Source organism: Homo sapiens, chromosome 19, assembly GCF_000001405.40.
Source record: "Homo sapiens chromosome 19, GRCh38.p14 Primary Assembly".
In the NCBI taxonomy this organism is placed as follows: Eukaryota; Metazoa; Chordata; class Mammalia; order Primates; family Hominidae; genus Homo; species Homo sapiens.
The window spans coordinates 23,068,670-23,080,750 of record NC_000019.10 but is presented as its reverse complement, the minus strand read 5'-3'; the positions used below and the strand labels follow the sequence as shown (position 1 = coordinate 23,080,750).

The window sequence follows — 12,081 nt, the reverse complement described above, 5'->3', positions numbered from 1 at the left end:
AAGCTTCATGACAATGGGTTTGGCAATGATTTGGGGAACACAACATCAAGAGATCAGGCAATAAAAGTAAGAGCATAGCCAGGCACAGTGGTTCACGTCTGTAATCCCAGCACTTTGGGAGGCCGAGGCAGGTGGATCACTTGAGGCCAGGAATTTGAGACCAGCCTGGGCAACATGCTGAAACCCCGTCTCTACTAAAAATAAAAAACTTAGCCAGGCATGGTGGTGCGCACCTATAATCCCAGCTACTCAGAAGGCTGAGGTAGAGAATCACTTGAAGTCGGGAGGCAAAGGTTGCAGTGAGCCGAGATCACGCCACTGCACTCCAGCCTGGGTGGCAGAGTGAGACTCTGTCTCAAAATAAAAAAAAAAAAATAAGAGTATATACATGACACTAAATCAGTGGATTCAAAATATCCCATAGTCAAGGCAAAACATGGAACAGATATTTGTACATTCATGTACATTGCAGTATGACTCACAAAAGATAATACCTGGAAGCAAATGTCCCTTTACAAATGAGTAGATTAAACGAATGCGGCACATATATACAACAGGATATTATTCAGTCTTTTGAAATAGGGTCATCTCAGCCTGACCAACATGGTGAAACTCTGTCTCTACTAAAAATACAAAAATTAGCTGGGCATGGTGGCGCGTGCCTGTAATCCCAGCTACTCAGGAGGCTGAGGCAGGAGAATTGCTTGAACCCAGGAAGCAGAGGTTGCAGTTAGCCAAGATGGCGCCACTGCACTCCAGCCTGGGAGATACAGCAAGAGTTCGACTCCAAATAAATAAATAAATAAAATAGGGACATCTTGACAAATACTACAATAATGATAAATCTTTACGATACTATGTCAAGTAAAATAAAATAGTCAAAAAAAGAGACACTGTATAATCACACTTACATAGAATACTTAGTCAAAGTCATGAAAAAAGAAAGTAAAATGGGGTTCTTCAGGAGCTAGAGAGAGGTGGAAAGGACAATTTGTTGTTTAGTGAGTATTTGCTTTTACTTTTGTAAGACAAAAATCATCTCTAACCTCCTGGAAAACAACAGGACTGCACTTAATACTTCTAAACTGTACACCTAATAATGTCTGAAATGACTATTGCATGTTTTTAACCACAATTTAAAATTTAAGAATACCTAAAAAGTTACAAAATTTTTTAAAAATTACCTTCAAATAACAAGTGTTCTTCTCACAAAATTATATATATTCAAACTATAAGTAGATTGTGAATTTAAGATTATTTCCTTGACTACTCACCAAGACAAAATAAAGCAATAGGCCGGGCGCGGTGGCTATGGCTGTAATTCCAGCACTCTGGGAGGCCAAGGCGGGCGGATCACCTGAGGTCGGGAGTTGGAGACCAGCCTGACCAACGTGGAGAAACCCTCATCTTCACTAAAAATACAAAATAAGCTGGGCGTGGTGGCGCATGCCTGTAATCCTAGCTACTGAGGGGGCTGAGGCAGGAGAATCACTTGAACCTGGGAGGCAGAGGTTGCAGTGAGCCAAGGTCGCACCGCTGCGCTCTACCCTGGGCAACAAGAGCAAAACTCTGCCTTATTGAAAACCTAGAAAAAATTGTGTCATAAACAAAGCAGGGACAACATTGATTAAAAATACATAGATAGGGCCGGGTACAGTGGCTCACGCCTGTAATCCCAGCACTTTGGGAGGCTGAGGAGGGCAGATCACCTGAGGTCAGGAGTTCGAGATCAGCCTGGCCAACGTGGTGAAATCCCCATCTCTACTAAAAATACAGAAATTAGCCAGGCATGATGGCACATGCCTGTAATCCCAGCTACTCAGGAGGCTGAGGCAGGAGAATCGCTTGAACCCAGGAGATGGACGTTGCAGTGAGCCGAGATTGTGCCACTGCACTCCAGTCTGGGCACAAGAGCAAAACTCCATTTCAAAAAAAAAAAAGATAATTGTCTTAAATTGCACAGAGTGGAAAATTATTCTTCAGACTGAAGGGGTGGCCTGCCCCTCCACACCTGTGGGTGTTTCTCGTCGGGTGGGACGAGAGACTGAGAAAAGAAAGAGACACAGAGACAAAGTATAGAGAAAGAAAAGTGGGCCCAGGGGCGGCGCTCAGCATGTGGAGGACCCGTGCCAGCACCGGTCTCTGAGTTCCCTCAGTATTTATTGATCATTATCTCTACCATCTCAAGAGAGGGGGATGTTCCAGGACAATAGGGTAATAGTGGGGAGAGGGTCAGCAGGAAAACACGTGAACAAATATCTCTGTGTCATAAACAAGGTTAGAAAAGGTGCTGTACTTTGATGTGCACATACATAAACATCTCTGGTGCATTAAAGAGTAGTGCCGCCAGCATGTCTCACCTGCAGCCTTAAGGCAGTTTTCTCCTATCTCAGTATATGGAACATACAATCGGGTTTTACACCGAGACATTCCATTGCCCAGGGAATAATATAAATCACTCTCCGGGAATAATATAAATCATTCTACTATATTCTACTATAAAGACACATGCCTGGAGACAGATGCCTTCCTCTTATCTCAACTGCAAAGAGGTCTTCCTCTTTTACTAATCCTCCTCAGGACAGACCCTTTACCCATGTCAGGCTGGGGGACGGTCAGGTCTTTCCCTTCCCATGAGGCCATATCTCAGACTATCACATGGGGAAAAACCTTGGACAATACCTGGCTTTCCTAGGCAGAGGTCCCTGCGGCCTTCAGCAGTGTATTGTGTCCCTGGGTACTTGAGATTAGAGACTGGTGATGACTTTAACAAGCATACTGCCTTTAAGCACTTGTTTAACAAAGCACATCCTGCATAGCCCTAAATCCATTAAACCTTGAGTTAACACAGCACTTGTCTCTGTGAGCACAGGGTTGGGGGTAGGGTTACAGATTAATAGCATCTCAAGGCAGAAGAATTTTTCTTAGTACAGAGCAAAATGGAGTCTCTTATGCCTACTTCTTTCTACACAGACACAGTAACAGTCTGATCTCTCTTTTCCCCACACAGACTGGGCGTGGTGCCTCACGCCTGTAACCCCAGCACTTTGGGAGGCTGAGGCGGTCAGATCACTTGACATCAGGAGTTCAAGACCAGCCTGGCCAACATGATGAAGCCCTATCTCTACTAAAAATACAAAAATTAGCCGGGTGTGTTGGCTGGCACATGCCTATAATCCCAGCTACTCGGGAGGCTAAGGCAGGAGGATTGCTTTAACCCAGGAGTTGGAGGTTGCAGTGAGCCAAGACACTGCTACTGCACTCCAGCCTGGGTGACAGAGTGAAACGCCATCTCAAAAAAAAAAAAAAAAAAAAAAAAAAAAAAAGCTCTTAGGGAATTATGGGAAAAGCTACCTAAATTTTTAAAAAACCTACACCTGTAATCCCAGCACATTGGGAGGCCAAGGCGGGCAGATCACCTGAGGTCAGGAGTTTGAGACACATTTTTACCTATGCACATTTTTTACATAGGTGTGTTATGGGGGTTTGTTGTGAAGATTATTTCATCACCCAGGTATGAAACCTAGTACCCATTAATTACTTTTTTTGTTCCTCTCCCTCCTCCTTCCAATAGACCCCAGTATGGATTGTTCCCCTCTGTGTCCATGTGTTCCCATCATTCAACTTTCACTTTAAAGTGAGAATATGTGGTATTTAGTTTTCTGTTCCTGTGTTACTTTGCTAAGGATAACAGCCTACAGCTCCATCCACATTCCTCCGAAAGACATGATCTCATTTTTTTTATAGCTGCACAATATCCCATGGTGTATATGTACCACATTTTCTTTATTGAGTCTATCATTGATAGGCATTCAGCTTGACTCCATGTCTTTGCTATTGTGAATTGTGCTGCAATGAATATACACATGCACGTGTCTTTATAGTAGAATGATTTATATTATTTTGGGTATATACCCAATAACTGGATTGCTAGGTTGAATGGTATTGCTTTCTCTAGGTCTCTGAGGAATGGCCACACTGTCGACAATAGGTGAACTGATTTAAACTCCCACCAGTGGTGCCTAAGCATTCCTTTGACCAAAAAAATCTTAATGTTCTAAGAGGTAGCTTTTTAGACAAATGGTATACCAGGAGACTGTCCTCAGGCCCAGACCACCCAGTTGCTCCTCTGAGAGGCTATACTCCCATTCCTCAGGCTGCCCTCTAAGAAATGACCCAGGGGATGATATTCATTAGACACTCCAAGAGATATGGTCACTACGGGCATCCTGGGTTGGTTAAGACAGTTCTGAAACTCATGACCAAGAAAAGACCAGAGGGCTGCTGTAAAGGGCCCTGTAATTTCTCCAAAGCAAAACTTCAACCCGAAGACGTACTAATAAGGTGTGTGTACCTAGGGAAGATAAAAGTGGGAGAGGCAGAGATAATTTTTATTTTTATTTTTTACAGTGGAGTGACAGAGGATTATTTTCTACATTTTTCTCATGTGAAATGTTTATAGACAGAAAACAAATCTTTAAAAACCTGCCACCATCCACTGCTGTGTAAAATCATGATTAACAATTAAAATACCGTGTCTCTAATGTACAATAAAGGACAAATAGTTGATAGTGTCGTAAACTGGACAGGGGAAGTTGGTCTCATATCCCACATTTGAGAATGTAGGAACAAAAGTGGAAATTTATAATTTTACTGCAAGCCTGAGTTAGGCTAAGGGAAAAAAGTGGATTAGAGCCCTGCTTGCCACACATTAGGAAGGCACAGAGGAAAACGAGTCCTCTGTGGAGTGTTAAAATAATTAAACAGCAGGAAATTAGACTAAAGTGGCTCTAGTCCCCTGTGTTCATAAATTTAAAAAATCTAAAACCCAACTCGAATGCATTTCTTATAAATTAATATATTAGGCCAGGCGCGGTGGCTCAACCCTGTAATCCCGGCACTTTGGGAGGCTTGACCCTGGGAGACGGAGCTTACAGAAACCGAGGTCACACCACTGCACTTTACCTTAGCGACAGAGCGAGACTGTCTAAAAAGAAAAGAAAAAAAAAATAACAGGAAAGCTTGGGAACCCCACGGGTCGCAGCTCCTCCCACGCACACACCTAGTCGGGATTCTACCCTGATGACCCGCCTGGCATCCCTAAGCACTCTGGGAAATACTCGGGGCTGCGGGCGCAGAGCTGCCCAGGGAGGTCCAGACAGGGCGCCCAGCAGGGACGCGGCGAGACGCTGGGGGTCCCGGCCGCGGGCCCAGCCGCCATCTTGCGGCCAGAGACGCCTGGGGCCGAGCTGCGCCAGAGAGGACTGAGGTCGGCGGACCCGGGAGCGGACTGTGGGGAGGCCGGTCCTGCAGGTTTCACAGCCCGCTCTCGCCTCAAGGGATGCCCAACCCCGCATACGCACCACTTCACAGCTTCCAGGGTGCCCTGGCATCTTGGCTGTGCGTCTCCCAGGACCTGCAGATCACAGGGCAACAGAGTCTGTGACAAAGTCGCCGGGCGGGGGTCGGTGGTTCCCAGGTAGAGGACGCGGAACAGTGAAGACCGATCCCAAGCTCTGGCGGGAGCGAGAGACAAAGACCCCGCCAAATGCCGGAAGCCACGCCCTCCTCTCCAACTGCGCGCCTGATCGGGCGGTTCCTACACCAGTGCCACTGATTGGATGGAGCTCCAGGACCCACCTCCCAATCCCACCCACCCCAGTATTAGTGCATTTTATGGACAGGGAAAGAGGCTCAAGTAGGAGGTGTCACTGACCCGGGCAATTACTGCTAATTAACAAATGAGCTGAGGCGTCGGGGGGCGGTGGCTCACGCCTGTGATCCCAGCACTTTGAGAGGCAGAGGCGGGCGGATCACCTGAGGTCAGGAGTTCGACACCCTCCTGACCAACATGGCGAAACCCCGTCTCTAGTAAAAATACAAAAACTAGCCGGGCGTGGTGGTGGGCTCCTGTAATCCCAACTGCTCGGGAGGCTGAGGCAGGAGAATCGCTTGAACCCGGGAGGCAGAAGTTGCAGTGAGCCAAGATCGCACCATTGCACTCCAGCCTGGATGACAGAGGGAGACACTGTCTCAAAAATAAATAAATAAAACAAAAATTTTCACGTAAGAGAAGTGGAGAATAAAAGAAGGATTTCACATCTAAAGCATTTGTTTCCTTTATAAAACCACAGCCCCTTTTCATTTGAATTGTCCAAAGATGTCTGACAGCACTAATACACTTACAGAATGAACCAGGAACAATGGCCTCTCAGGTGATAAGGAGGCACAACGTTACCTAAACCCAGTTTATTCTCAGCTTTACATGGTAACCCCTCTCAAGAAGTACTGTTAGCTGTGTGAACCGTATTCATTGGACAAGGCCAGAGGAAAGCGTGTTTACTGCAACACAACCAGGAGCCTGCAAATCAAACTGGGGGCGGGAAGCACGTAGGAGGCTTCCATAACCAAGACACTGGTGGCTATCCTTGGTTGTCACTTAAAACTTCAAGGTGGCCAGGCCTGGTGGCTCACGCCTGTAATTCCAGCACTTTGGGAGGCTGTGGCGGGCGGGTCTTGAGGTCTAGAAATAGAGACCATACTGGCCAACATGGTGAAACCCCATCTCTACTAAAATTACAAAAATTAGCCGGGTGTGGTGGCGTGCGCATGTAGTCCCAGCTACTAGGGAGGCTGATGCTGATGCAGGAGAATCGCTTGAAGGAGGCAGAGGTTGCAGTGAGCTGAGATCAGGCCACTGCCCTCCAGTATAGTAACAGAGCGAGACTCTGTCTCAAAAAAACAAACAAGCAAAAACAAACTTCAAGGTGAAAGGCATCTATTTTCCAGTTGGCTCAGAGGAACTGACAGATACTAGAATTCAAATGTCTTTTTCTTTTCTTTCTTTCTTTCTTTTTTTTTCTTTTTTTTTGACAGAGCGAGACTCTGTCGCTCAGGCTGGACTGCAGTGGCGCCATTGCAGCTCACTGCAACTTCCCTCTCCCAGGTTCAAGGGATTCTCCTGCCTCAGCCTCCCAAGTAGCTGGGACTATAGGCGCGTGCCACAGCGCCTGGCTAATTTTTGTATTTTTAGTAGAGCTGGGGTTTCGCTGTCATGGCCAGGCTGGTGTCGAACTCCTGACCTCAAGTGATCCACCCGTCTCTGTCTCCCAAAGTACTGGGATTACAGGCGTGAGCCACAGTGCCCAGCCTGTAATAGTTTTAAACTCCCCTTCTCATAGGGACAGGCCACCTCCACACACCCCCTCTTACTTCACAGGCTCTGTCCCTAAGGTTTACCTGGGGGACTGTCTTCCTCCCATCTCATTGGCTCTCCAAGAGAGTCCAGCTCACACTAAAACCTACCCTAAGATGGCAATTTGTAGACACTCCTCCATCCTCACAGCACAGTGGGACTTATGGAGAATGCTGCCCAATCCCCTTTCCTCAACTGACGTGAAGGGGCAGGTGGCCAGCCAGATAGATGTTCAGTGACCTAACAGGTCCAGCATGCCCAGGGTCTAGCCCCACAGCCTACCACCTCTCCCCCACCTGGTCTTCCCTCCAGCCTTTTTTCTTCTGTCACCAATGACAGGTGATGTTTACCTGTGCCACACTCTCATGAGCCTAGAAACTGGCATTGGTTGGCCGGGTACGGTGGCTCATACCTGTAATGCCAGCACTTTGGGAGGCCAAGGCGGTCAGATCACTTGAAGTCAGGAGTTCAAGGCAAGGCTGGTCAATATGATGAAACCCTGTCTCTACTAAAAATACAAATATTAACCGGACATAGTAGCACGTGCCTTTAATTCCGGCTACTCCGGAGGCTGAGGCACAAGAACTGCTCTAACCCAGGAGGCGGAGGTTGCAATGAGCTGAAATCATGCCTCTGCACTCCAGCCTGAGTGACAGAGTGATACTCTGTCTCAAAAAAAAAAAAAAAGAGAAAGAACCAACCTGGTGTGGGTAAACCCCAGCTGGGTGCCTGTAACTCCACTCTCTTGCTTCCCACTCAAGTGGCATTATAAGCATAACCTTAAATGTGATCTAATTTATGCATATTCCTCTCTTAGTAACATTTCTGACAACAGCCCTCACAATCAAATGAGCCTGGATTACAGAAAACGTGTGTGTTTAAAGCCTGAGGCAGCAGGTTTTGTGTGTATGTGTGATTCTCCTGCCTCAGCCTCCCAAGTAGCTGGGACTGCAGGCACGCACCACGATGCCCAGCAAATTTTTGCATTTTTAGTAGAGATGAGGTTTCACCATGTTGGCCAGGATGGTCCTGATCTCTTGACTTCATGAGCCACCCACCTGGACTTCCCAAAGTGCTAGGATTACAGGCATGAGCCACGATGCCCCGCCTATTATTCTTTTAGAGATGTATTTTCATCTTTCTACTTTTTTTCTTTTCTTTCTATTTTCATAATTTCTCCCTTTCTGTCTCTTTCTTACTGTCCTTCCCTTTTTCTTCCTGTGTTTCTCTCTTCCTTTCTTTTTCTCTGTTTCTTTTTAACATTTCCTCCTTGTAGAACCTGGTCCCTAACTTCCTTCATTCCCTCCTGTCTTCCTTCCTGCCTTTCTCTCAACATTCCTACCTTCCTCCCTTTTTTTCCTCCTCTCCTGCCTTCCTTCCTTCCTACTACAGGAATGTGGCATCATGCCTGGCTAACTTTTAGTAGAGGCAGGGCCTCACTATGTTGTCAGGGCTGGTCTCAACCTCCTAGGCTCAAGTGATTCTCCCACCTCAGCCTCCCAAAGTGTTGGAATTACAGGCATGAGCCACCATGCTCTGCCCTCTTTTATTTTCTTCTTTTTTCTTTGTATTCTTTTTTTCCCCTCTCTCTTTCTTCTTTCCTTTTTTCCTTCATTTCTTCCTTTTTCTTTTTGTGTCTCTCCACCTTTTTCCTTCCTTTTTCATCTTCCCTTTTTCTTTTCATTATTTTCTCTATTTTTCTTTTGATATTTCTTTCTCTTTCTTCATTTTTTTTCTCTCTCTTCTCTTTCTTTTTTTTTTTTCTGTTTTATTTCCTTCCTTCCGTTCGTCGTCTGTCCGTCTTTGTGTGGATTCTGGGACAGTCTCCTCATTCTGTATCTCCCTGTGTCCTAAACCACCCACTACCGAGTCCTGGTCATTCTTTCTCCCGCTGAGATGCATCTCCAAGCATCTGCAAACACCCACACCCACGGGTTGTCTTTGACTGGACTCTGTCGTGGTCTATGCAGAGCCACGTATCGGGGATCATTTCTGGGGTCGGGTGGATCCATTTCGCCCACGAGCTGCCCTTGCCATCTCGATCTGTCTTGTTGACGTTCGCGCTGGTTGTCGGGCTCCACTGAGGCCACCTCTCTAAGTTCTCTTGTCCTCCGGAGCTCCAGCGGCAGCTGCCGAGGGAGGGACCGTCCCCGCTGTGAGCTGGGCGGAGCTCGGGAAGGCCCGCAGCCTTCAGCTGAACTGTCTCAATGGGACCAGAGCTCTGGCGCGTCCCTTGTGAGTCGGAGGTCGGGCGCGCAGGGCTGTGGCTTGGGAGGCTGTCCCCGCGCTCCCAGCCCGAGCCGAGTGTGGGGCTGCCCCGGCTGATCCCAAGCGCACTGCAACTGCCGAGGCCCGACCCGCAGGACCCACCAGGCCTGACGCAGGGGGCCAGGGACGCCCACGCTGGTCCCGACTGTCTGAGGCGCCTGCCGAGTTTATTCCCAAGTCCCCATGGAGAGTCAGGGGCCGTCCTGAGCCATCTTCTGAGGTCCCGGGAGGGGTGGGCTCGGGAGGGGTTCGCCCGAGGGCTTTCCGAGCGCCGAAAGGGACGGCGTGCTGCGTGGTGGGTGCCTTGGGTTGGGGGGCTCCCCTGCTTGGCCTCCCACCCCTCTGGTTCCTGGCTCCTCCCCTCATTCCTGGGAGTGGGGGTGGTGGCAGCTCGATCCACCGGCTGGGATAGGGCTGGGGAAGCATGGTATGGATGGTTCAGTTGCAGGTGTCCGGGGGTGTGGCCCGGCAGGCCCCATCCCAGGTATGGCTGTGAGGGCCCGGGGGTGGCAGTCTGGGTCCCTGCCCTCTCCCACCCCGCGGGTGGGATGGTCACCGGGGGGGCAGTCCCTGCGCTTGAGCCCTTGCTCCTCTTTCCACCGCCCACATCGATCAGCAGATGGGGGTTGGGGGCGCGGTGGGAAGGAAGGTTGGCGACTTAGATGCCAGAAAAACAGCTTCAGGCCGCGAGCGCCACCCTTGGCCTGTAGGGTGGATCCGCTGGGCCTCTACCTGCTGGCTTCTCAGTCCGGCCGCCGGGTCCACCAGATGTCGGCCAAGAGTGTAGGACTTGGCCACCAGCTTGAAATATTTAAGACGGACCAGATGGCTCTCCTCGGCTGCAGAACCGCTAAGATCCAGTAGAGGGTGCGATTACTGCTCACTGCGACCTCCACCTTCCCGGGCTCACCCAGGCAATCCTTTCTTTTCGGCCTCCGAGTAGCTGAGGCTCAGGGGATCTTTCTGTTTTTGTTTTCTTTTTTTTGTTTTCCTAGCCCCACTTCAAGTTTGTTTCCACAGTACATTGAGTTGCTGTTTTTTGTTTGTTTGCTTGTTGAGACGGAGTTTTGCTCTTGTTACCCAGGCTGGAGTGCAAAGTCGCGATCTCGGCTCACTGCAACCTCCGCCTTTTGGGTTCAAGCGGTTCTCGGGCCTCAGCCTCCCGAGTAGCTGGGATTACAGGCATGTGCCACCACACTTGGCTAATTTTGTATTTTTAGCAGAGACGAGGTTTCTCCATGTTGGTCAGGCTGGTGTCGAACTCCCGACCTCAGGTGATCAGCCCGCGTTGGCCTCCCGAAGTGCTGAGATTACAGGCGTGAGCCACCGCGCCTGGCCGCTGTTTTATTTTTATTTATTTCTTTCTTTTTCTGTTTCTTTTGTCTTTCTCTTGCTCCTTCCTGCACACTGAAGTTGCTGTTGTTTTAGATTTCTTTTTTCTTCTTTTTTTTTTCTTTTTGAGTGAGGCCTTGGCCCCCAAAGTGCTGGAATTACAGGCGTGAGCCACCGTGCCTGGCTCTATCTATCTACCTATCTATCTATCATCTATCTATCTATCTATCTATCTATCTATTTTTTTTAGTAGAGACATGGTCTCAGTATGTTGTCCAGGCTGTGGTTATATATATTACTTTTTAAACTTTAATTATCATTTTTTAATAAAGATGTCTCGCCATATAGCCCCCAGGGTAGTCTTGAACTCCTGGGCTCCACGTATCCTCCCACCTTAGCCTCCCAATGTGCTGGGATTACAGGCATGAGCCGCCGTGGATGGTCTGGTCATATTTTTGATGTGTTGCTTCTTCCCACTCCAGATGCATAATCTCACCGCTGAACATTCCTGACAGTGTGATTATGACATATGACTTTACCCAGCACCAGAGTGAGTTGGTGCTCCAGCCCTGGCCCAGCCCACAGAAGAGATTGTGACATATCACTGGACCCAACACTGAGGTGATGTGATTATTCTACTGCCTTGGCACTGCACACAGGGGACATTGTGACATCACTGGGTCTTGTACCCAGGTGGTGTGAATCTTCTCTCCTGCCTTGGTTCTTCCACGGGGGGCATTGTGTCATATCGCTGGGTCCCACACATACGTTATGTGACTCTCCTGCCTGTGCCCTGTGCATGTGGGTCATTGTGACATATTGCTGGGTCCAACACCCAGGTGATATAACTCTACTGCCTAGGCCCTGCCTACAGAGGACATTGTGTCATATACCTGCACCCATCACACAGGTAATGCGGCTCTCTCTCCTGCCTGGCCCCGATCACAGAAGAGATTGTGACATATCACTGGGTGCACACCTAGCTAACATGTCTCTCCTCCTTGTCCTAGGTTCTGCTTGCAGGGGATATTGTGACATGTCAGTGAGCCTAATACTAAGGTGATATTGTGTTGGTTTGTTGGTTTGTTTGTTTTTGTATTTTTAGTAAAGATGACGTTTCTGCATGTTGGTCAGGCTGGTCTCGAACACCCGAACTTAGGTGATCCAGCCCCTCTCAGCCTACCAAAGCGCTGGGTTTACAGGTGTGAGCCACCGCACCCGGCCAGGTGACATTACTCTTTTGCCTTGGCACTGCCCTCAGAAGGCATGGTGGTATATTGCTGGGC

At 48.5% G+C, this 12,081-nt stretch overlaps 1 protein-coding gene across 12 annotated transcripts in view, besides 2 other annotated features; it reads right to left on the bottom strand.

The window, feature by feature from the left end:
* Positions 1 to 5,540, bottom strand: part of ZNF730 (zinc finger protein 730) — a 72,011-nt gene extending 66,471 nt beyond the window's left edge. For 11 of the 12 annotated variants that reach the window (XR_001753564.2, XR_001753566.3, XR_001753565.2 and 8 more), the window contains exon 1: positions 5,364 to 5,540. Coding sequence is in view for 1 of the 12 variants with exons in the window: in XM_017026115.3 (XP_016881604.1) it covers positions 5,364 to 5,393 (30 nt within the window). In the remaining 11 variants the exon portion in view is untranslated. The remainder of the gene's footprint in view (positions 1 to 5,363) is intronic. The other variant, XM_047438000.1, reaches the window with a different exon arrangement.
* Positions 2,465 to 3,038: an enhancer, noted in NCBI's record as "OCT4-NANOG-H3K27ac hESC enhancer chr19:23260515-23261088 (GRCh37/hg19 assembly coordinates)". NCBI's record gives its function as "activates a minimal SCP1, AML or CMV promoter by ChIP-STARR-seq in naive H9 embryonic stem cells {active_cell/tissue: H9 hESC(naive)}" and the evidence as "EXISTENCE:reporter gene assay evidence [ECO:0000049][PMID:30033119]".
* Positions 5,181 to 5,928: an enhancer, noted in NCBI's record as "NANOG-H3K27ac-H3K4me1 hESC enhancer chr19:23257625-23258372 (GRCh37/hg19 assembly coordinates)". NCBI's record gives its function as "activates a minimal SCP1, AML or CMV promoter by ChIP-STARR-seq in primed H9 embryonic stem cells {active_cell/tissue: H9 hESC(primed)}" and the evidence as "EXISTENCE:reporter gene assay evidence [ECO:0000049][PMID:30033119]".